The sequence below is a fragment of the Homo sapiens genome, chromosome 18 (assembly GCF_000001405.40).
Source record: "Homo sapiens chromosome 18, GRCh38.p14 Primary Assembly".
In the NCBI taxonomy this organism is placed as follows: domain Eukaryota; kingdom Metazoa; phylum Chordata; class Mammalia; order Primates; family Hominidae; genus Homo; species Homo sapiens.
Genome location: NC_000018.10, coordinates 63,762,013 through 63,788,147, shown reverse-complemented (window position 1 = coordinate 63,788,147; position 26,135 = coordinate 63,762,013). Strand labels below are relative to the sequence as shown.

Genomic DNA, 26,135 nt, shown 5'->3' with positions numbered 1-26,135 from the left:
GCGAACTTTTATTTTTCGTAAGTAGAAGGAGTACACTTTAAAATAACTACTAAAAGTATACTGTTGTAAATGCATAAATCAGTAATAGTCACCATTATCAAGCATTACGTACTGTACATCATTGTATGTGTTGGGCTTTTCTACAACTGGCAGTCCAGTAGGTTGGCTTATGCCAGCATCACTACAAACACATGAGTAATGCATTTCGCTATGATATTATGATGGCTGCAACATCACTAGACAATAGTAATACCTCAGTTTCATTATAATTTGACGGTACTGCCCTCATATATGTGGTCCATCATAGACCAAAATGTCATTATGTGGACTGTGACTGTACCTCGTAAAAAGAATGTAGTAATTCATGTGAAGCCTTGCAGAGAAAGGAATCTCCCCTTCTCATTAGCCAAAATTTTTCTTAAGACAGACTGTAACTTTTTAACAACTCCCTGCAATTCTTTTTTGGTTTTTGTTTTGTTTTGTTTTGTTTTTAATAGTCCTAAAGCTACCATTGGAAAGAATTATTTAGGAATATGTGCATGGAACAAAAATATAAAATACCATGTTAAAGTGATTCAAACATACTAACATCTTTTCTGAGATAATGCTTGTGGCACCCAGGCAATAATTTTAAAATTATATAACTATCCAGAAGTCATTCTCCTTAACTTTTTGAATAAAGTTTTAATAAGTTTAAATATTTAACATCGTTCTTTGATCATTACTAATATTACTCTCTTTTGATATGAATTTGGTTGATTTTCTGATATTCCTAATTGAATCTTAGTAAACAGAAGTGTCAAATATTGAAATGATACATATCTGTTTTTATCTTTACAAAAATCCAAGAAATTGTAGATTCAACAGTAAAACTACCATGACTAAAGACACATAATGATGCTACAGGTGGAGCATCCTAATCCAAAATCCAAAATGCTCCAAATTCTGAAATTTTTGAGCATCAACATGACGCAAGTAGAAAATTCCATATGTGACCTCATGTGATGTGTCACGGTCAAAACTTTGTTTCATTAATAAAAAGATTTAAAATGTAGTATAAAATTACCTTCATGCTATATGTATAGGTTGTATATGAAACATAAATGAATTTCATGTTTATACCTGGGTCTTATCCCATCTCATGTATAAACAAACTTGCTGAAATCTAAAAAAATCCCAAATGGGAAAAAATCCAAAATCCAAAACACTTGGTCCCAGGCATTTTAGATAAGGGATATTCAACCTACAGTAAATATTTATGTGTGATAAATATTAGATAAAACTTCAAAGGGCTTGTTTATCACAATTCTTCCTCTTCTTACTTTTCTTATCTAATTCTTTGGTGTTTCTATCTGAAATACAAAGTGTGCTATACTTTCATGTTCCCTCATGTGCTTATGTAGGGAAATCAGAATTTTTCTTTCTGATAAATGGTTTATGAATTCAGATGATGGCAATGAGGAAAATCATGAGTCTATACAGTCTAAGAAATTTCAGGACATTTGGATTAAGGATTTTTTTTAAAAAAAAAGATACTATGAATCATCCTTGGGCTTCTACCTGCATATTCATGCCAAATTATGAAACTATTATTTCGTCTTAGAGAGTGGTAGAATACGTAATATATTATAGTGATTATTTTTAAATGCTTTTTGTAAAACTCAGTTGCATTTTAGAAAATACAAATTTGTACAACTTTTAAATAATATTGTAATCCAAACATAACTTTAGAAAAATATATATATGCGTGTGTGTATACGTATATATTTCATAATGTATTTCAATGGAAACGTTGAGAGAAGGAAGTCCAAACATATGGCTCTCATACATATATAATCCAAACGTGTAATCCAAACTATATATAATATATAAAATAATGCATTTCAAAGGAAATGTGTGGATGTGTGTGTGTGTATATATATATATATATATATATACACGTATGTGCCATGCTGGTGTGTGTGTGCCATGTGCCATGCTGGTGTGTGTGTGTGTGTGTGTGTGTATATATGTATATACGTATATATATACATATATACATATATATACTTATATTATATGTATATATGTATATATAAGTATATTATATATACATATATTATATATATGTGTATATATACGTATATTATATATGTGTATATATACGTATATTATATATGTGTATATATACGTATATTATATATGTGTATATATAAGTATATTATATATGTGTATATATACGTATATTATATATGTGTATATATACGTATATTATATATATATATAAAGCATTTCAATGGAAATGTCTTGTGAGAGAAGAGAGGAGTAAGTAGCTTACGAAATAGGAAAATCACTTTTTAATACTTTTATATTCAAACACTATAAGAAAGAACAGCATTATTAGATCTAAATGAAAATAAAAACACACACAAAAAAAACAAAACACAACAACAAAAAGAAACCATGAGTCTGAACCCATGACTTTGTCAGTAAATACGCTTTTCCAGCTCTTTCACTCAAATGGTGAGCAGCCTTCATGGCACTTCAACTGCATTGAACCTCAAGCACACTGATTCTTGACTTTAATCAAGTAAACATATATATTTACTCTATACTATATATTTAATAGAGTAAATGAGCCAGAGTTTCATGAGGAATAGCTGAGCTCCTTTTGGAGCTAAGATAACTCAAGACAAGCCCAGAACGTCTTGTCAGAAAGCAAAAATATTTTAAAGTTATTGGGAAGGATTGTTTAAAAAGATTGGGTTAAAGAGATATCTACTGGCGAAGCTATGACACTTTGAGCATCAAAAAGAAAAAGAAACACAGATCCATGGGAATGCTTAAAAGAGACACACAGATGGAAGCCATAAATTGAGCCGGGATTCATTTAAAATAGAAATGTGTGATTTATGGTGACAAGGGTCGAGTGTAGTAATGAGAAACCAACTGAAGCAGGGGAGAAGCTGAAAATTAATTTCCTAGAAGACATTTACAGAGGATTAAAAATGTGTGCAGATAAATTAGATGAATGTTTTTGTGTCTGTAGTTGCCTTTTCTCCTCTTACATGTTTCTTCATGCAAGATCATAATAGTAAGAGTTATAAAAAGTCACACATGAGAGTAATTGATGAGGCAGTAAAGAGTACAGAGCAAACTCCAGCAGAACAGCAGCTCTCTCAGTTCACCATGACTCATGAGCTGTTGACCCTGGCCCACCAGGCATGAGGTGCAGGGCAAGGAGACTTCAGAAGGTGTACCAGACAGGAGCTGAAAGATTGCTCCTGACATGAAAGCACACAGTAGGTAAGAGCCGTGTGTCTTCTGTTGCATTAAAATCAAGCTTTAGTCATAGGCATGGTGCCTGCACATCATTGTCTAACACATTGAACAGTGACAACTGTAAGGTTTTTTTCTTTATTTGTTTTATCATCAAATCAGCATCCTCCGTGCACAGGTGAGGACACTAGTGCCCACAGAGATGACATGATTTTCCCAAGGTCAGATCTTCGACCCAATCTTCTAACTCCCAGACCAAGGCTATGTTTCCATGATACCAAATCATCTCACTTGGTTCTGAAACATTATGCATTTTTATGAATGAATAAATTTTTATTTGTTGAATGTTTTTCAAGGGCTTTATATTTATTTATCAAAATACCCACTTTAAAATACTGAAGCTTCACAGTGATGTACTTTGAGCTATATTTCAGTTTGGTGGCTTCAGAGCAGTTCTCAACTGGAGACTGATTTTGCTTTTGAGGGCATTCTTTGGAAATATCTGGAAATGTTTTTGGTTGTCATGATGGGGGAGGGGTATGCTGCGGGTAGTTGTTGATGAGAGGCCAGGAATGCTGCTAAATGATGCATAGGACAGCCCCTCACAACAAAGATTTATCCAGCCAAAAATGTCAATAGTGCCAAAGTTGAGAAAACCAGTTGTAGAAGATCATCCTGAGTTTGAATCTCAGGTCCGCCATCTACCAGCACACAGTATGGTCACCCCTCCATAAAATCAGGGTAATATTCCCACTTCAGTGTGTCAATGTGAATATCAAATAAGATCATATTCTTAGGGCTTATCCCAGATCCTGAACACTGATTAAGTTCTCAGCAGATAGTTGTTACTATCATCTCATTAAAGTGTTGTATCCTATGTACTAGGTTGTAAACCGCTCTAGCGCTTGAAAAAAACAGCAGTCTAAGACTCTGTAGTTGTTCTCTAGCAATTAATATTTACTGAGCTATTCAGATAAAGGAAGGAATTATTCTAGCTTAAATTATCCCATAAATGGTTTTCCATATGACCTGAGGTATGACAGGTTACAACAGGCACCAGATTCCTCTGGCAAGCCCTTCAGAACTAAAATAATGGGAGGAATAGTGGGGCAAGAGGTGGGCACAGGGAGGTGGGGGCAGAAAGGGACGACATCAAGGCCTCTGCATGCAGCCTGGACCTGGCATCTCACCTGCTGTTGAGCTACTGAGTTTCAGTGGCAATTTTCTGAGAAGGGAGGGAAACGACCATTCCACTTCCCTATAAAGTGCTCCCAGAGCTGTGTGCACGGGTGTGTTAATAAGCACTCCCTGAAGGTGGCGGTGAAGGTGGTGATGATGACAATGTGAGGACTATTCAGGTAGGCTGCTATTATCTGGAATGTACTATGATGTTTTTGTGCCCCGGTAACCAGTGCTTAAACTGGGATGTCATTGGAATCTCCTTCTAACTCTCCTATCTCAACTGTATCTACTCAGGCAGTGGTTTTCAACCCTTCATGTGCACCTGGAGAGCTCATTAAAACCCAGAGTGCTGGGTCCAACACCCATAGTTTCTGATTCAGTACTTCTGGGGTAGAGCCCAAGCATTTGCATTTCTTTCTTTCTTTCTTTCTTTCTTTCTTTCTTTCTTTCTTTCTTTCTTTCTTTCTTTCTTTCTCTCTCTCTCTCTCTCTCTCTCTCTCTCTCTCTCTCTCTCTCTCTCTTTCTTTCTTTCTTTATTTTCTTTTTGTTTTGTTTGATCGTTTGTTTTCTGAGACGGAGTCTCGCTCTGTCGCCCAGGCTGGACTGCAGTAGCGCTATCTCGGCTCACTGCAAACTCCACCTCCCGGGTTCATGCCATTCTCCTGCCTCAGCCTCCCGAGTAGCTGGGACTACAGGCGCCCGCCACCATGCCCGGCTAATTTTTTGTATTTTTAGTAGAGACGGGGTTTCACCGTGTTAGCCAGGATGGTCTCGATCTCCTGACCTCGTGATCCGCCCGCCTCGGCCTCCCAAAGTGCTGGGATTACAGGCATGAGCCACCGCGCCCGGCCAGCATTTGCATTTCTAACAAGTTCTCCAGGCGGTGCTGATGATCCTGGTCTGGGAAACACACTTTGAGAACCACTGCACTGAGGGAAAACATCAAAGCTGCAGTACTTGGAATATTTCTGCTGCCTCTTGGCTCAAAAACAAGTACTGCAAGCTGTGTGCTTTCTTCACACCCAAAGAGGGCCTCGTGGAGATGTGTGAAGATGTGACACCTTGTGCCTCATGATGACCTCCATTAACATGGGGACCATTGCAACGAAATGTTCTCGTGGGAAAAACAATTTGTCCCAGTGATTAACTGCAAAAGCTGAGACTGACCTTATCAATCTGAGAGAGGGAGTCATCTTGAGCGCCCAAGCGGACCAGGGCCAGGGCAGCGAAGAGGCTCAGAGAGGAAAAGAACACATTTCCATTTCCTTGATTGTCATCCATCTCTCTGAACAGGTTGAAGCAAAACTCTGCATTTGCTGCAGCAAGGGAGGCCATTGCAAAATGGAGTGCAGCCTAGAGGACAATGAGAAAATGAAATTAGTTCCCGGTACATTTTCTAGGAATATTATATTTTTAGATTTATTTATTTTTTATAATTTAAAGCTTCATTTTTTTTCAGCCTTGGAGGTAATCATCAAATAACTCTAACAAAAAGGGAAAAGTTCCCTTGGCCCAGTATCCTTGTCACTAATACCCTAAAACTATCTCTTCTCGTTGGTGGACATTTCTGTCCTCAGTGGCCTGTGAGTGGCCTGTTTCCAACCCCCAAGCAGACACATTCATGGGGCTCACTATTTCTCAAATCACCCCAGATTTCTGAACTGAAATAGAGCAAAAGTAAATATTACAATATTAGACAGTCTATTTGAGGCACTACAGCCTTTGCTTTCTAAACCATCTGTAATTCAATACAATGTTAAATTTTTGAGGTTTAACACATCATTTTTAACCCATTCTTTCCATTAAGGCCTCTGTAAATTCTTAGAACAATCATACATTCTATTTTTTTTCAAAACTGTCCTAATTTTAAGTATTATGCATCATTGGTCCCATAAGTGCATTAATTTGTTTAAAACCATTTTCTGATTTTTTTGGAATGCAAAGTGTGATTATCAGAGTATGTATCAAGAACATGTACAAGACTTTTCAACACATAGGCCTATTTCTTCCTAGAGAACCCAGGGTGCAGTAACAAAGTGGAGATTATCTTCAAATTCATGATGTTGTTTCTGCAATACAGACGGTTGCTACCACCATGGAATTCTTCAGGGATCCACTTGGGTAATTTTTTTTGCAGAATTTCTCCTCAACTCAAATTGATCTCAAAATAGCAGTTGGGGTTGTCTCAGACTACATGAACTTACATGAATTCTCCAAATTATTCCTCATGAATGTCCAATGATATTACATCTGATGGTGTGGCAGGTGCCAGGTGTTGCAGATGCCAGGAGTCACAAACCCTTAGGGGACTTCATCCAAGTCTCAACCCTGTTGCTAATAGTTGTGTGAACTGGGTCAAGTCTTTAATTTCTCTGAACTTCTAAGTTTCATCTTGTTCAGTGAGATGATCTATGTACAGGATCTAGCATAGCGATTCTCAACAGAAAATCATGCTTCCTTGTACCTTTTGCTCCATAAGAAGAGCACACATAGGCATCTGGGGACTGGCATGTTGTGGGTGAGGAAGGGGGTCACAAGGAGGGAGAGCCATGCAGTCTGAAAGAAGAACATTCTAAAATTGCCATTGTGTTGGCTTTGTCACAGTTGCAAATACTTAAGGCCTTTTAAAATTGTAAATGAAATTAAAATAAGTTTTTTAACTTTTATTATGTCAAATGGGAGTTTGAGTTAAAAAATTAAAAAAAAACTTTTCTAGTACAATGCATGATCCAGAGTAGACGTTCAATGAGTTGAAGCTGCTGCATTTACTATTCTCTGTGAAGTGGTAATAGCCTGTTCTGTCCTAAAAGACAGCAAACATTTCCAGAAAGAATGTCCCTGAGGGACCCATACTCTGCTCTTTGGAATTCCAAGCACAGAGAACACCACTGAGGCATGACACCCTACATGATGCTGTTTTTCAGGGTCAAATTCAGCTATATAGAATTCGTTATAAGTCATACTCCTCAGTTACACCCTAGGCACATAAGGTGAGAAAATCATTCACACCCCACATATCTTTACTCTAAGAAAGAACACCTATGTTCTTTCAAAAGTTACCCAGAAAAAAATGTATGTTGATTTTATATCTAATCCAAGCAATCCCGGGTAAAAAGTTGTGGCAATTGTGATTAAAGCTACAGGAGAAACTCTTTGCAACAAAGGAGACGAGAAACAATGAAAGTTAGGACTAGGTATACAGGATGCGAGTTGGCAGGAAAAGGGCAGCTTTATACAGTGAGTGATACTAGCAGTGCTAAAGGCCCTCAAATGTTTAAGGGATTCAATTCATATTTTTGACCTAAAGATAAGTATTCCTTCTAAAATATGAAAAAATAAGATCAAAATTAACAAGTTTACAATTAAATATATGAAAATGAAATCTATGCTGATTTTTCTATTTAGTATTCATAAGAATTTCATTAATTTTAGAAGGAAATTGTGTGCTAGATTCTCTCCATCCTAAAGAATTTCCAAGGCTTCATGCTGGTTGCCGAAAATCAGACAGTAGTAAATGAAATGAATTGTTCTTGGGAAAGTAACTTCAAAAGCAAAGTCATATTAATCCTTTCAAAGTATTTACAGTGAAAAATATATTTAATAGAAGATTGGGTGTATTTTAATGTTTTCATAAAATGTGAGTTAGAGTTTTTAAAATAAGACCTGAAAGGTTTTTAAATGACCCTGTTTAGAAACCTGCTTGCACGGGCCAATGGGGGTCTGGAAGCTATCATTTCCCAAAGTGCAAAAATATACTTTAAGATACATTTTTCTTTGTTCAAGTTCCAATTCTTCTTGTTGTTTTACAAATTATGCCTTACTATTTTATCCTTTGGGGCAAAAAAAAATTATACTTTTGAATAGTATTCTTTAATTACTTTCTAAGCACCAATCACAAATTTTCATTTTCTAAAATTTCAGGCTTCCTATTTCCATGGTAAATTATTGATGAAATTATAATCTTATTGAACAAAAGAGAAGCTACACAAGAATGTATTCATTCAGGATACAGAGTACATAAATGTTTAGCTTAGGTAAGTTTTATGGCAGAGAAACCATACTAGAAAAAAAAAATCACGACAGAGAAACATGAGCCAAGACATTCCTAGATAATTATGAATTCTCAAGTCATAACTCTTAAAATGATAGGTGATACTAACTAGCATATACTTTAACATTCTTGTACAGACATGTTCATGTATGCTTAAAATAAATACCAAAAAGTATGTTCCATTTCACATAATTATTTTTATTATCTTTCTCTATGCAGGTGCACTGTTTAAGTTCCAGGAATAAAAGTAAGATTTGTTTCTCCTCTTCTGATATAAAGTCTGATTCTTATTGGCAAATAAACAATTATATTTAAGACTGAACTGATTGTTTTATACCTCCAAGTTTTCATCAGGTGACACATAAATAAAAATTAGCATGAGACCAAAACTGTGATTTTTCCTTTCCCTATAAATACTTTCAAAGCAACTTAAATAGATAAAACATTAACAAAAATAAACTAAGTTCAGGCAAGCCACCAACAGCCACCAACAGCTACCAATTGACTTGAGTCCCAGTTAAATAACTAAGGAAATTGAAAAGGAAAACAACCACATTAAAGCTACCTAAAGAAGATGTCAGTGTGACACCACCCAGTATTTCATTGTCTGGACATGGCAATGCAGGAAAGTTCTTTTCAAATCATAAAAGAACTTGGTTTTAAAGTCTGATTTTTCATTTTGCTAAAAATATACTATATTCTTATGTTTCTTGCATAAATATTTTAGCTTAACAAACAAGCATGCAATTAATTTATAATTTTAAAGTTAACACAAATTAGCACGTACTCATGGATGTTTTTACATCCCAAACTTCAGACTTGAGGGTCTAAAAGTCCATGGCAGCCTGAAGCCTATTTGATTCCTTATGGTCTATTTCAATCTGAGAACTTTTTTATCCCTTTCATCCTTTAGCTAATATATTATTAGCATCAAAACAACAATAAAAATAGATATTTTCTCACTAAACCTTCTTTTTAAAGTTTAATAAAAAGCAAAAAGTAGTTTTTAAATAAAGCATAAGAAAATTCAGGCACAAAACACATTCAATAAAACATAAAGTTATGATACTATTTTATGGACCTAAACTTATTACACCTAACTGATAAATTATGTGCCTTAAATGCTTGATAAAAGTATTATCTAGTCTTAGGATACTTTTGCCTGTATATAGAAAATTAATTATAGTTCATGACACATTATTTTTTAAAAAAGCTTTTATATTTACTGAATTAGGATATACATATAGGAAAGAAATGAATAATCCCTTGAATGTGATTAATTTTTATTCTTATCAATAAGTCAAATACGATGCTATACAGATACTCTTGGAAGAAATATTTTAAAATCTTTGTATTTCTTTTAAAAACATAGTTTCAAATTTTGATCAACCTCTAATCAAATTAGTATATTATGCACTTAAAAGAGTTCAATTCTAATCTCAAAATCTAGTATATTCCAACCTATAATGCCTTAAATAAGAACACAGGAAATATAGAATCTAGATTTGCACATAATCCCTACTTATCTCTTCAAAGATGGAACACAAATTTTTCAGCTGGCATCCGATTCCCATGCCATTCTCCCATGACACCACTTAAATCAGTCATAGACAAGCTGTAAGGTGGAGAAGCAGACAAGAGGACCATTATCCGATCTGGATGTTGTGTGATGAGTTTAATGTCTCAGACACAAAGTAACCAAGATTTATTTCTCTCTCTCTCTCTGTGTCTGTGTGTGTGTGTGTGTGTGTGTGTGTGTGTGTGTGTGTGTGTGTGTCTTTTTTCAAAGGATCTGGCCAGACTTTAAATTATGGACTTCAGAAGTATTTACCTTACTGTCTTCATAGAGGAAGTTGGCCGCTGGTTGGGTGAGTCTGAAAGAGTTCTTTGCATTACTCTGAAATATAAAGCCTCTGACTCAGACACTCCCTACTTTTTTTTTTATGATGGCCATGATAGTTTTAAATAATGTCATTAAAATAAATATATTCAGATGCTTTATAGAGCAATTTAAAAGAAGTCTGTAGAATATTAGCTATAGCTCTAATTCAAAGTAGTCAAATAGATATTTTTAATGAATCAAATTTTAGCATGAAATGTTATTTCATTTGATATTTAGTATCACATAGTATTTTTATGTAGTAAATTTAGATATCCTTACATTAAGGCACAACTGGCACTTCTTACATGTGGAAATGTAGTTACTGATTTTTGTTATTGTTTATTTGATTCCTCCCTGCTCTGATTTTGGTATTTGATGAATATGACCGAGCCCCACCTGGAATAATTCATATTCTGACATCTATAAATTCAACTGTCATAGAGGAGTAGCACTGCAGTCCCAGAGAGGTGAAGAAAGCAAAGTGCTATAGAATAGAGTGGGCCTTTTCTCATCCATAAAATAAAAATTCACACCAATTACATTTTCATTAGTACACACACACATATATATATGTGTGTGTTGCTATGTATGTGTATAATCACTAACATGGTATTTATGCTGTATTTGGGGAACATTGTATTTAAGGGAGGCAGGTGAGCTGTCCCTCTCAAGAGAAGTAGGGTTGTACCTCACATAGTGTTTCTGACTTTATCTTACACATTATTTCCCACAAGTGTTTGCCCATACTGCCTTTATTTTCGTTGTATGATTAATGCTAAAATTGAGTATGCTGACTGTTTGAAGCTCTCTAAGGTGAATATGCTATCAGAGAGAGAGATGCGTTAGAATATATTGAACACATGGAGAGGGATATCTACCCCCATCAGAAAAGAAATACATTAGTGATAGGAACTTAGAAACCAAATAAATATCCAAAAAATGAGCAAATTTGATAATTATTAACTCCAGAGAAAGCTTACATTGTGAAAAGTATATCATAGTACACTTTATAGATCAACTGTGGATAAAATTATCATAGTCTTAATGATTTAAACCCCCCAGTCCTTGTTAGACGTCCATTGGGACCCACTTCTTCCCTTTGTCTACCAGAGCTTCTCACAGACCTTGGTTTATCTAGTATACCCAAAAACTATGCTTCATACCAGGACATGGTCTTTCAATTCGCACTATCTTAAGGCACACAAGAAGGTTTCTGACCACAAAACTCTACCCTCATCTTCTCAAGACTGTCTGAAATCACCACAGCAGTAGCCATCAGCTCCCACGCCACTGATAGAAGTAAGGTTTAGAAGGCAAATAAATCAGGCACGAAAGAATACACACAGTAAGATGCCCTTCATGAAAAGATCAAACCAGACAAAACTGTTTTTTAATGGATGCTTACATGGGTGGATAGACTAAGCCACGGATATAACTGCTTTAGTTACCCCTAGTGGGTGGGGAGGTTTTGTTGGTGAAAGAATGGGGAGGGAGGTTTTAGAGGTTCTGGTGATGTTCTATTATTAAATTGTATGCATCTATTGAATTCATCTTTATGTAGCTACATTATATTTCATTATTTTAAAACTCAACAGCAACAACAAAAAAAACATGAAGCCAAATGACCTAATGCCTCTGGGATAGGGTCATGGCGCATTGTGTATAACTGATAATTGATCTATTCCTGATAGCAGGTTTTGATGGACAATGGGCTGGGACACCAAGCCAAGGATACACAGGCATCAGTGAGGTAAAGAATAGGATGCAAAATAAGTCCAAGACTGACTGACATGGCCCAAGGAAGAGACCACGGGTCACAGTGTTCTCTCCAGCAGAATCCAAACCCAAGCACATTTGTGTATGGTGATAAAAGCTGCCCCACCAGAAAAGCATCCCTCCAAGGAGGCGACCTGGAGAGATTTCAGGCCTCTGAGCATGATCATTGGCCATTTACATCTTCCTTGAGATTCGTTAGTGAACTTACCTCTTGCCTACAACAGAAGATAAGAGCAATAATGTAAATCAATAATTGGATAAGCAAATCAACAGTGTACTCACGCTAGCATCTGATACCCAGAAGCAGTGATGGGAATCTGGTCTCCTTTCTCTAGGTGATCTGTTCTCACTCACAAAGAAAATGTTTCCACACTTCTCAAGACTGTTGAGCCCTAGGTATTTTCCCCCATGCACTTAGGAAGGTGATGAAGGAGAGCTTCGAAGGGAGCCTGTTTTACCACTACCTAATGAACCAAAGTCAGCATTTCTAGACAAAAATTTGTTCTAAAATTCTGAGAATTCAGTTTTAAAGGCTGTCCAAAGGTGCAGCCTGCACTCTGCACAGGCAGCTGCTTATTGATGAGTAGACCTGGCTTCTGGGATGGCTTCCCTATGACTCAGAGCACAGCACTGTCTCTCAAGAATCTTATAAGCATTTAGGTTTTGAACCAGGTTTCAAAATAGTATCTGACTAAGGTGGTTGTTATGTAGTTCATTCAGTTTGTATGTGAATCAGATTTCAGGAGGCAATATTCCCATCTCTGTTTCTTATAATGACAATGGTTTTAACATAACCATAAAAACAAATTTCAGAATCAACAGTATCTGTCAGCCTGGGTCAAAACATACTCTTCTGTGAGAAACACACAAATAGACTAACTAGACATCAAATCAACTAAGGCAAGATAGCAGTGACAACAGTGACTTGGTGAGTTTAGGGTGCCATTTTATTGCAACTTGCCACTCATCTTATAGCCTAATTTCTTTCAACCCTATCCTGTGTAAATTTCCCTAGCATAATGACCTAAAATAGAATCTCACACAATGTTTTTTATCATTCTCCAATCTCAGATTTTCATCTGGACCTCTAACCTTTTGAGCTGGCTTCTCTTTGTACTGCTTTCCATCCTTCCCTCTTTTTCTCAATTTTCTCTGGCTTGGAATTTTCCAGAGAAACATTTGCCCTGTTAGTTATTGCAACTGGCTTCTCTAAATGCTTACCTGAACTGAGCAGCTTCAGATAGGAGCTGAAACTTGGTGTGTTCATTCATTCTTGTCATCCTGCCAGCCTCTCCTCCACCCTTCTGATCTGGCAATGGAAAGCCACGTCTGCACCACCCAGATCCTTCCTCCTATAATACAGGCTAGAGTTTGTTAAAGTGGGTTTGCACTTTGAAAAGTGACCAGGTGTAGGGAAAGGTAGGTTGGGCCCAGTTGGTTGCCTACACCTTTGCCATCAGAACATGCCACACAGGGGCAAAAACACATTTCAGTTTCTGGCCGTAGCATCATGAGGTTGAGCTGTATGTTGCACCTACCTTCACCTGCTATGCATGGAAATGACTGCAAGCCTGGTCCTTCTGCCTGAGTGTTTTCAAAAGTACAGCCAACATTTATCCAAGTAACTGGGTTCTCTATTGTAAAAAGCTATTGGAATTAGAAGGTACCATCATCTTACAGTTGCTCGCCTCTCAATTTTGTGCAATTTTGCCTCTTTCCCAGGAAGAAGGGGGTCCTGTTAACTTATCCAAAATCGAATAAAGTAGTTATTGCTCACCTCCATGATTGTTTATGAGTAGAATAATCATAGAGAAAAGTAAAGTTGCAGAAAATCCCTGAAATTTAATTTTGATTTAGCAGTTGTGGTGAACTTTCTGAAGGAGAAGGTTGTTGTTAATATAAAAAAAAAATGAGCCTACAAATGGATTCCCTGTTCTCCATATTCTAATTGCAGTGTTCATAGGCTGAATATTTTGAATCCCATATCCTTTCTATTTCTTACCTACTGAGGATATAAAGTACTTTCAAGTGGTGAAATGGTCAATAGGTAAAAGGCAAGGGACCCACGTGACACACATACTGGATAATCTTCTTGGAATTACCAAGAGTCATCCATAATTAAGGCTCTACTCACCATTGTTTTCTTCTTCACATTAACTCAGACATCCCTCCCACTACTGTGTTTGCAACAGTTGATTTACAATTAACCAATCCCAAAGTGACATAAGTATGAGAAGAAAGCAGTCATGTGGACTGGCGTGTTACATTAATTATTCTCCCTTGCCATACAATGATAATCCAAATTTCCATTGGCCTTGCCAGTTCATGCATATAGATGAGGAAACATGAACTGTAATAACCTACATTTTACTGTCTCTTGTCCTCACTTACCCAGGGCTGAAGAGGGATTTAAGGAAACTACTAGGGATTAATTCAGGATTACACGAGGTGTCAGTAGAGAAGGCTGTGAACTCTGGTTACATAGAGCTCTGTAGTTAGGCTGAAGATATAAGAATTCTTTGGTGACCGAATACTAATGGCGAGGGCATGGTAAGGGGTGCTAGATTTAGTGTAGTGCCCAGAAAATGGAAATGACCTGGGAATACTTAATGTTCCAAATTAGGGATATTCTTTGCACATCCTAAAAGATATAAACCTATTCCCTGGAAGCTGATGTCATTTGTGTTTTATTTGTTTGCTTGATATGGTTTTTGTTGGTCCAAATTCCAGACATTGAAATTTTTATATAAACTCTGTTTACCAAATCTAACCTTTCTAATCTATCTATTTGAAGAAAATCTTGTAGTGGCAAGTTCCATGGCTTAATTGCAGATTCTATCATGTGAATTCATTCTAAGTGATTGCATGTTAGGTCTATTTTTACTTCTTGATGTATTCTTTGTCGTTTTACTGTGGGCAGGACACAAAGGAATTCAGTTACTCTATGTCTCTTGTTTACATGTAAATATTTACCCTCTCTTCTCTTTTTGCTATAATTCCTCCTCCTTCTTCTGATTCTCTTTTACTTTTGACATGAATAATCGCAGCTTTCACTTGGCAATAAATAACATGATATAATATTGTCCTTATGCATTTAAATGAATGCAATCAGCGGAACTTCCTATCATCTCTCTGATCAGAATTCCAACTGCAGGAGGCCTTGTTGGTTTCCACTTATTTGTGCTACATCATTTCATCACGTTGTCGTGGCCCCAACCAACATAATAATAAATGGAAAATTCTTGAAGAATCACTATTGTTATCAGTGCTACCTTTTCTAGTTAAACCTTTTAGTTCTATGAGATTCATGAACAAACACAGGGAGGTTTTCTAAACAAAATCCAAATCTAATTTTAGAAGCAAATTAAAGTTCACTTTCTACCTCAGGATTTCAACTTCCCAAAGAAATGCAGTAATTGGTCCCATTTCACCTCCTAAATTATTTTATCATCACGTTTTGAATGTCATTATTTGTCATGAAAAAGTAAATATTCTAAACCTTTAAATTTATTAAGCTTTACCTTGACCAGTTTCAGTGGCAAAGTTAAATATAAATGATGTATCTAATTTTCCTACAAGCCTCTATTTTCTTATCCTTTAAAATTATTGTTGGGTTTGTAAATGGGAGCTTTAAAACCTCTACCTATATTCTTCCATTTGCAGAGTGATGCTTAAATCCTCACTTTAATTTTAATTAAATATGCAAATTCAGTGGCCTTGAAAGTAAATATATATCCAATTTTTTCCTTTATTAATAGATAGATAGATAGTAAGCTAAAGGAAACTTTAGACATTATTTAAGTTGAAGTCTCCCATTTTACAAATGAGAAAAGTAGGACTCAGAAAGTTTGTGTTGTGTCTTTCTCAAATAAGAAGCAGTTGATCCTCTCCCTTCTCCCGCCCTCCAGCCTCAAGTGTACGCTTATTACCTAAGAGAGGAAATAATCTCTATACAACGTCCCTGCCGACATGCAGTTTACCTGTATAACAAACCTGCACATGTATTCCTGAACTTAAAATAAAAGTTAAAAAAAAAAAGAAGCAGCTGAAATAGATCCTAGGGTGCCTATGATTTTTTTTTTCCTTTTTGAACCATGAAGCCTTCCTGATCATTTCTGGGCTTGTCTCCCACTACATCCTTTTAAACTTATCCTTAGAAGTCAGAAGACAATATGGCTACTATCTTGACTTATTCATAAATATCCCCACAAAATCTGCTTAAAAAAATCACAGTCCATCTGTTCTCATAAGGGTCTATGAGAAACAGAGAATCCCATATATAACCTTATCAAAAACAAAAGTAAACCCTTTCAACTCAGAGTAGTTTCCTGACTATTTTTGGAGTAATAAATTTCCAACCCGTGCGAACCCTTAGAAGGATGCCTTTAATTTACGGGCAGAGGTTGCAATAGCATGTATCAATTCTGTCTTTAAGAAAAAAACAATATGTTCTGTGTATGTGAAACATATAAGAACACATGAAATAAGTATAAGCTAATGGGAAGTCTAATAAGATTAGGAAACTATTAAAAGTTTATCTTATTGTGGTCATTTCATTTACAATTCTATCAATCATTATAAATAAGATATAAAATAAAAGTAAAACCTGAGAATAAAAACTGGGAGCCACCAGGATCCAGTCTATGCAGGAAACCATATTCAAAGAAAACACAAATCCCATTTCATTCACTTAGGCTTCCTTGAAGAGACCTCCCTAAGGATTTCACAAAGCATGCCAACATCGAAAGTACTTCCTACATTCTTTTAAAATATTTCTTCCCATCCCCGAACTTTCACTCACATCAGCAACTAAATACCTTTCGTCTCTCTTCAAATGCAGTTTCCTCACAACAATTATGCCTCCCTTTCCCTTTTGTCTCTTACTTTCTTGTACATGTTCACATTATCCCCATTCCTAAAGCACCCAGTGCCATGTGACCTACCCACCCCACCCCACCCCACCACGCAAACTGCATGCACATCTTTTGGAAGTTCAGTTTTTCTTCCACTCTGGCAACATCTCAGACTATCAGCCCCCTTTGTTCCAACGAAGATGAATAAAATTTTATGGAATCTCTCTGTGTGAGTGTGTGAGTGAGTGTGTGTGTGTGTGTGTGTGTGTGTGCATGTGCAGACTGGAAATAAAATAAAGTAAGGTTGTAAAAGATTTAAACAACATAATCATTATGTTAAATATGAATCTATTGAACTCTATACCCTAATAGTAGAGAACACATTCATCTCAAATGCCCATGGCTCATGCATAGAAATTCATCACATATAAGTCACAAATAAAATATCAGTAACTTTAATAAAGGAAAAATATTACAAACAATACTCTCTGATCACATTTAATAAAACTAGAGTTTACTATCAACAACAGCAGAAAAACTCACATGTTCCTTCACATGGACAGTAAAAATCCTGTCATTAATTCCTGAGTAAAAGTTAAATAGAAACTGAAATTACAAGAATTTAATAATAATAATAATGACAATAGCTTCCAGTTGGGGTCAAGATATGAAAAGCACACTCCACCATATTCTTTCCTGCTAATTACAACTAAAACTTCTGGACAAAAGCCATAGAGTAACTATGAGAAAACTCTAAAAGGGGAAGAAAAGAAGGAAGACTGGCCAGGAATCTCAGGACTTGAGGGGCCACTTAGTATTACATTTGTTGTTGTTGTTGTTGTTTTCCTTTACATTCCAGCCTAGGTGCTATTGCCAACCACACCCTGCAGCTATAATACTAATAGAGGCAGGGATAAAATCTCTCTAACCAGAGGTCCGGAAAGAAGAAGAATCCTTTGGATGATAATAACCCCACTACAAGCAGATGCCACAAGAGAAGCAACACCCTCTATCCTCCCCACTGGCCTGGTTGCTGTAAAAACTGTAGGGTAGAACCATAATGACAATCCCACTCTACACTAAGCAAACACAAGCAGAAGCGGCAATGTCCTGCCTCCATCCTTTGATGGTGACTGCAGACACAGATAACAAAGCCCTTCCCCTTCCACTCACACTGTGTGCACCAAGTCGTGAGGTGGGATCCTGTCAACTACCACCCTGAAGAAAGTAGACACTAGCAAAAGTGTAGCACCCCTTCCCCTCCCAGGTAGAGGGTTTGAGGACAATCATAAAGAAGTGAGAGATGGAGAAAAGAATGATTTAAATTTGTATATGAAGTCCTGAGTTCACCACTGTTCCATTAATCTGTGAAAATGAACAGAATCAATAGAGCAAAAGCTTTGTTGACTAAATTATGATACAGTTTCAGATTGACTGCTGGGTAGTGCAAAAACAGGGCAGATGAGAGTAGGACTACAAAGATTTTGACAATTAAATTGCCATTAAAACCAGAACTCACCAATTATCATTAAAACCATTGCTGTCTATTTAAAAAGTAGATTTAAACAGGAACCAGAGTCTCATTATATAATACTCAAAATGTCCAGGACATAATACAAAATACTTGTCAAACCAAAAACCAGGAAAGTCTCAATTCATATGGCAAAAGACAATCAGCAGATGTCAACACCAAGATGAGACAGATTTTAGAATTATCTGACAAGGATTTTAAAGCAGCTATTTTAAAAAGTCTCTAACAAGTGGTTTCAGACACTTTTATAATAAGTGGGAAAATAGAAAATAGATAGTAATAGCAAATAGAAATTTTAGAATAAAAAATACAATAATAAAAATCAAAATGTAGTAATGAAAATGATGGAAAAAATAAAGAAACTTTTAGAGAGATCAACAGAAATTTTTCAATCAATTTTTCTTTTTCATTTAATTTCAAATTTTCTGTTCATCTCTCTTTAAGAGCTTGTGAGACACCAATAAAACATCTAACATTATGTCATTGAGTTGTAACTCCAAGTTATTTACCCAAGGAAAAAGAAAGATTATTTGCACAAAAGTGCTTGTACATAAGTGTTACAGTACCTTCATTCATTCACGATAGCTAAAAACTTTAAACAAACCAAATATTCCTCAACAGGTGTTAAATAAAATAAAGATAAATTGTGGTATAGCCAAACAATGGAATACTAGTCCTTTTTTTAGAAGAGCAAATTATTGATACATTCAAAACTGTGGATGAATCTCAAAATCCCTAAAACAAAACCATAATCTGATTTATGGTAACAAAGAGCTTAGTAGTAGACTGGGGCCAGGGCTGGAGGGAGGACAGATGGCAAAGGGACCTTGGGGAGTTTTGGGGGTGATGGAAACATTCTATGAATTGATGGTGGCAGTGGTTTCCTGGGTGTGGCAATTTTTTTTGCATTTGTCAGAGCTCATTGAATTACATTTTAAATTGATGCAATTTATTATGCATAATTGTAGTTCAATAAAGCTGACTTTTCAAAACCTTAATAGGAAGAAAGACATGCAAAATGTAACAAAAATATCTAATTGTATCACAAATGTATGAAACAAACTCACTGAAAGGGAAAAGGCATGAACCTAAGTGACTTTGGAAATGAGTGGAGTTTGTAAGACTAAAGGCAAAAGAAACTGCACATAAGCACTGTGGTCCAGTAATAAAGGTGTTTCTCACAGGAGTATAGGTAAATAATTCTGATATCATTATACATGTATAGTGGAATGGAGTGATGAAATAAATGGATGAAAGATGGTGCGAGTCAAATTTTCTCACTATTGGAGCAGAAGGTTATAGATAAGCAAGAAAAAAAGGGTAGAATGATCTACAGAATAAAAAAAAATGAAGAACAGTCTCAAACCAATAATCTATACTTTCACTTAAAGAAACTAGGACAAGAGCAAAATAAACCAAAAACAAACAGAAACAAGAAAATCATAAAGAAAAGAGCAGTAATCAATAAAAACAATACAGAAAATCAATTAATCCAAAAGATAATTTCCTAAATTAATCAATAAGATTTAACCCCTAACGAGACTGTCACTAAAAAGAAAGAGAACATATAAATTCTCAATATCAGGAAGGGAAGAGACCTTCAGACTTCACAGACCTCACAGATATTAAAAGAATTTTTTTAAAAACACTAGGAATAACTTTAAGCACATAAATTTAACAACTTAGAAAAGCTAGACCAAAGCTGTGGAAAATCTCAAACTACCAAAACTCACCCCATATTAAACAAATCACCTGAATAGTTCTATACCTATCAAAATTAAATGTGTAGTTTTAAACTCCAAAAATAGAAATCTCAAGTCCCAGATGGTCTTCTTAGAGAATTCTACCAAATATTCAGAGAAGAGATAACACCAATATTACACAATCTTTTCCAGAAAATGAGAAATAACAGTTTCCAGCTCATTTATGAGCTGGAAAATCCAGAATAAAATATTAGTAAATCAAACCAGCAATATATAAAAATTATAATACATCACAACCAAGAAGGATTTATGTTAGTAATGCAAGGCTGGTTCAATATTAGAAAGCATGTTAGTATAATCTATTAACACTCCAAGGAAAAGGCGAGGGAGGAAACACAGTCTTTCTTTTATTTCCCACAGACTCAACTATAAGACCTGGACAGAATGTGTAGATGGATATTTGAAAACTCTAAAAAGCAAATATCAACAGATTGATCTGGGAAGAACAGAATTCTAAATACAATCAAGACAATGGTGAGCTTAACTTTTTTCCCCTCTATTATTCCCATCCTGAATAAATACATTTATTTATTTAACTTAGCCCACCCCAGAACTCTGAATTGAGTATTGTGAAGCAGACAGAGTGAAATCCAGGAGAAGCCCTCTGGTGCTGGCTTGAGTAGCAGAAAAGAGAGCTCTAAAAAGTTCGGCGAATGTGTGAGAAATCTCTGCATATTTTTTTTTCTCTCCATTGCCTCTATTCTTTCACATCACAGTCCCCAACTGGACCTGTGTAGGTCCATGGTTATCCAGCAAGAGTGGCCTGGAATGACAGCCTCTACTCTTACTCAGCATAGGACAGGAGAAGGCTAACCATGCTGTGAACAGAGATGTAGCAGTGGAGATGGAGAAAAGTAATGGATTTATGCAAAGTTGAAAGTGTATTTAGCAGAACTTGCTGATTGGATGTGGAAGGTAATGAAAGAAGTAGAAAAAAGAATCACTTCAAGTTTCTTTGGTTTATGTAACTAGTTGCCTTGCTTTTTACCAAAATGCAGATGACTAGAGGGAATTGAAAGTTGTTTTGATAATGGTTTGAGCAGCCTTTAGATGGTAATGTCAGACAGATAGTTTTATCCAGTTCAGGAAAGAAGTCAGGGCTGGGTTGGGAAGGTAGCAATCAGCATATAGATATATCTTTTTAAGTTGGGAGATCATAAGTCATCTTGTTTGCTTTGGGAATCATCTAGTGGAAGAATAATAGACGGTGAAGGAGAAAGAGAAAGACAATTTCAGAAGAACATTCCTGCAAAATGATCCCCAAGGGCATGAGCAAAAGTTTAGCCTTCAAGTGCAAACTAGACCACCTCAACATAGAACTGGAAAGTTCAGGAAGTGCTATGCCACGATTCTCAGTAAGTTTTATTTGTCGAACAATTTATTGAATGCTTACCCAAATGTAGGCCATGGGTATATACATTTTTGGAAAAAATAAAACATGATTTCTTCTTTTAAAAGTTAGGAAAAACAGGAATTTGGTAAACAAACATACACACTGTATCCAAGAATGTTAATACCCAAGATTCATTCTCCCTCTTTTTCTTTTAAAGGAAACTAAATTTTGTTTAGTTGAAAGAAAACTAATGGGAAACGGGAGAAGCCATTGTGCCCAGTTTAAAAACAAACGAAAGAATTCCCTCCTCCCTTGCAGATGGGGAGGAACATGTGTCTAGATTCTGACAAATAGTCATGCAAGTAGAAGCTTCTGTCTATGGCTTCCAGGAAACTTTTCCAAGAGAGGAGTTACACAGTTGTTAGGTGCCCATTTTATCCTATGCTCTTCACTGCTCTTCCCTGGAATGTAGGCTGCAGGAGGTAGAGCAGCATCCTTGTGATTGGGGACAGAGACACTGAAGGAAAGAACAAAGGTATTACAGAGACATCTGCCCTGATAGCCTTGAGCCACTAACGGCAAGACCAGCAACCCCTTACCTAACTCTAAACTTCTAATTACATGAAAAAATGCTGTTTTTCAGCTGCTTGAAACCTGTCAAATTAATCCTAATACATTAAACACACGCTATAAATAATAAGTGCTATGAAGGAAAAAAATCGGTTTCTAGAAAGAGAATAATAGGATGGGAATCACTTATTTAGATTGTAATGTCAATCGAGGCATTTCTAAGGAAATAAATCTAAGTCAGGATCTAAAATATAAGAATGGAGCTGCAGTATATGAGCAGGAGAGGAAGGGAGAGAGCATTCTAGAAATAAAGAACAGCAAGAAGAGTGGCATAGGATGAGGAAAACCAGGGACTGTGTAGAGGCTATAGGCCATCAGAAAGAATTTGAATTTTATCCTAAATGGGAAGGGAAGCTAGTGAAATATTTTAAGCAAGAGATGGCTTATTCTTATCTTACTTTTTAAAAAATAACACTCTAGCTGCTCTAGAAAACAAATCAGAGATGGACAAGAGTGGAAACAAAACAAACAAAAGACAGGTTATTTGAACAGACTAGGCCAGAAATAATAGTGATGTGGACCACGGAGTGCCATCAGAGATGGAGAAAATGTACTCCAGATAAATTTAGGAGGTAGAATCTTCAGGCTACACTGACGGATTTTATAAGGAAAGGGAAGAAAATGAAAAAAACAAGATAACATCTGGACTTATGGCTTTGGTAATTGAACAAGAGTTTGTAACATTTTTCTAAGATGTGGAATATTGCAGAGAATGAGATTTGGGGACTTAAGTTTGAGGTGCTTATGGCTATTCACACATAGTTGAATCTACAATTGTGGGAGGTGACTATGAAGGAAAAAACAAAGGAATCACAGAGAGCTCAGAAGATTTTATTTGTCATAAACAAATTCTGCAATTTGTTTATGGTCTTTTAAATTTCTGTTGATAATTTTAACATAGATGTAATTTATATGTTTACATAGTGAAAAATATATCATTTTTTCTGTGGTTTATGTTTAGAAACTCCTTTCCTACTCTGTGATCCAATGCCTAATTACTCACCTCTTCTGGTAGTTGATTTTGTTTTATTTTCTTGCCTTCTGTAGTCTTTAGATATGAGGTGATGATACACACATGTAATAATAATAATAGTGGTTAATCAAATATACCACTATTATTTCTTTAAGCTCTCTTTTCCCAAAAGATGTGTGATACCCATGCATCACAAGCTGTTTTAACTTTCTAACAGTCTATTTCTGAGTTACACTCTGCTCCATTCATATGTCCATTTTTTTTGCCAATTAAAATTGTTTAATAAGAGTATATTTCAGTGTTTATTTTTCGAGAGAAATACCTGACTGGAGAGTATAGTGGAATTATTAATTTCTATGATTTTAAAAACACATCGAGTCACCTGTTACCTAAGAATAGCCTTGGTGCTTGGGAACAGCCCCTCCTGAGAGATGAGTGAGAAGTTTCCTCTTGACTCTCCACTCAGCAGCCACATGGATAGGGACAGTCAGAGCTCAAATAAGCAGAAACCTGAGTTCCTTCAAGAAAGGGCCAAACCACTTTGTCACTCATATGTTTATTTGAATATGAATTAGTCAGAAAACAATTTGTTTTTGAAATCCCCAGACACAGTAATTGGGCTAAGGCCCACAGAACAGTAGAGTGGTAACACCTTCTTAGTTTAGCAAACCAAATCCCACTGCCCTCACATAATCCTACCCAAGATATTGGGAACCACGGCTGTAAGTGATAGAGAAAAATTCATCCAAGCCTATCAGGTTAACAATCACTTATAAGAATTCAACTCTTGGGAAAATTTGTTTCTTTACCCTGAAGGTTGAGTAAGCTTCACTCTAGGGCCTGCCTCTAATTTAGCTCATACCATAGAAATGGCATGCAGAGTTTCTGTTTTCATAACTTGGGAAATACTATACAATTGTATTGTAATGCAATTCTCTACAGTGACCCATTTAGTAACACAGGTCGAACTTGTTCTTTTCTGGGTTCATTGGCCTGAAATGCATTCCCAAGTCATGGAATTCTCAAAGAATAGCATGGTGAAATGTTAGGATTTAAGACATTAGAAATTTCCTTGATTTAGTAAAGTAATTAGTTCATGTTCACAGGACATGATTTTTAATAAAGAAAAGTAGCTACAATATTATTTACCCAATGGCCAATAATTTCTGCCTTATTAAACCCAAGTCAAAGGCACCAGTGAAAGCTGAAACTCATTCTTTAGCCTTTAACTTCATTCTCTGACTTTTTATTATTTAAGGTACTCTTTGTAAGTGCTTCATATTTCCATAACAGTTTAACATCAGATATTTAATTTTTGGATTAGTATCATCCTTTAGGCAGCACATGATGAATTTGACCACTACCAAATTTAGCTTCTGGCTGTGACTTCATCAGAATTATTTTAAAAGAAGACAAACCTATTTTTAGATTGTCTCATAAATGAAAGGTGGATTACTTACCAATTTTTTAAATATTACAATATTTAGACCAGCTCCAACATAAAACCATGTTAGATTGAAAATTATTAAATAGTTACATAATAACAGCAGAAATTCTAAGAACAGTTTATTCTAGTAACTAAATTACTTTCTGGACGATATATTAGTTGTTTCCATTGGTTAGCATAGTATTTCTGCTTGTTAAAAAAATAGTAGCAGGAAAGTTGAAGCACAAAACATGGTAGAGATATAGAATTTTCAACAATTTCCTGTAATAACTCAGAAAAATTATGTCAGCACTTTGATTACGAAAAGCAGAGGCTCATATGATATCAGCAATGGTGCCCAATCTCAGTCCAGAGCAAGATTTTCATCTACCTTGTAGTCTAACCCCAATTCACCCAAATCCACAGTTAAAGGAGTATGTTTTATGCTACACTATAGTAGCTGAAACCCCCCTTTTACTGAGGTAATCTAAAAATAGGAATATGACCTAACCTCAAGGCAAATGTCATCTACGTCTTAATCCACAATTATCTGCTAATATTAAGAACATGCAGGTAATTAAATTTAATGTTTACTTTAAAATATTATCTTGTTATATTTATATAACTCCTGTTTTATGATCAAATAGTGGTGATTGAGAAATAAAAATGAATCCAGAAGGCATTGCTGACTCTCATGAAAGATGTCATCACATTAAATGACTCTTCTCATAAACATTTGTACATGGAAAGTCAAAGATTAAAAAACTGCTCAAAACCACAGAACAAGTGAGTATCAAATGTGTCAGCAAAGATCAGGCCTTCTAACTCTTGTTAGTTTTCTGCTCTCGTCACTCCCCCAGAGCTATCATGGGGGGGAAATAAGGCAAATCAGATCCTTGGCATATGCAGTTCTCCTGACTGTGCCTGCAGCTAGAATCCTCAATACATATAATCTCTTCCCATTTCCTTTCATCTCATAAGCATATCCAGGAGGCCTCAGTGTCTTCAAGCACCTGATATGCATACCAATGCACGTAATCTGTAAATCAGACTCAATAATAGTGGAATGTTCTGGGCAAGTGAGTTCTGAATCAACCTACAAAGACTGTCTCTGCAGAGATAAGAAAAATATGACAATCTTATTTTAGAGACCAGCCTGCACATTAAACCAAAGAAGATAAGTGTAGTGGAATTAATTTTAATAAATTTGCCCTTTGAAATCCTTCATCCAGTGGCCTTTTCCCCCTCCAGTCAATAGATTCATTCATCCACTCATTGACTGAACGAATTTTCTTCACAGGCCTGGTGGGTGCTGGGCTTGGCACCACATTGCAGGGTTACTGTGGAGCAGAAGACCCAGTTCTTGCCCTCCATGGTCCCACAGTCCACTAAGGGAAACAACTCACAAGCAATTACGAGGTGGCATGAAAACTACCATAAGTGATGCTGTTTGGACAACATGGAAGTAGACGTCACT

The 26,135-nt window shown here is 35.9% G+C and overlaps 1 protein-coding gene across 5 annotated transcripts in view; it reads right to left on the bottom strand.

Moving 5' to 3' along the window:
* Window positions 1–26,135, bottom strand: part of SERPINB7 (serpin family B member 7) — a 52,314-nt gene that overhangs the window by 17,223 nt on the left and 8,956 nt on the right. For 2 of the 5 annotated variants that reach the window (NM_003784.4, NM_001261831.2), the window contains exons 1-2: window positions 12,432–12,730; window positions 5,608–5,793 (exon numbers count right to left, since the gene is read on the bottom strand). In NM_003784.4, coding sequence (NP_003775.1) covers window positions 5,608–5,775 — 168 coding nt within the window. In that variant the 5' untranslated portion in view covers window positions 5,776–5,793; window positions 12,432–12,730. Of the gene's footprint in view, window positions 1–5,607; window positions 5,794–10,322; window positions 10,368–12,431; window positions 12,731–13,370; window positions 13,395–26,135 lie in introns of those variants that run through there. The other 3 variants (XM_024451278.1, NM_001261830.2, NM_001040147.3) reach the window with 3 other exon arrangements.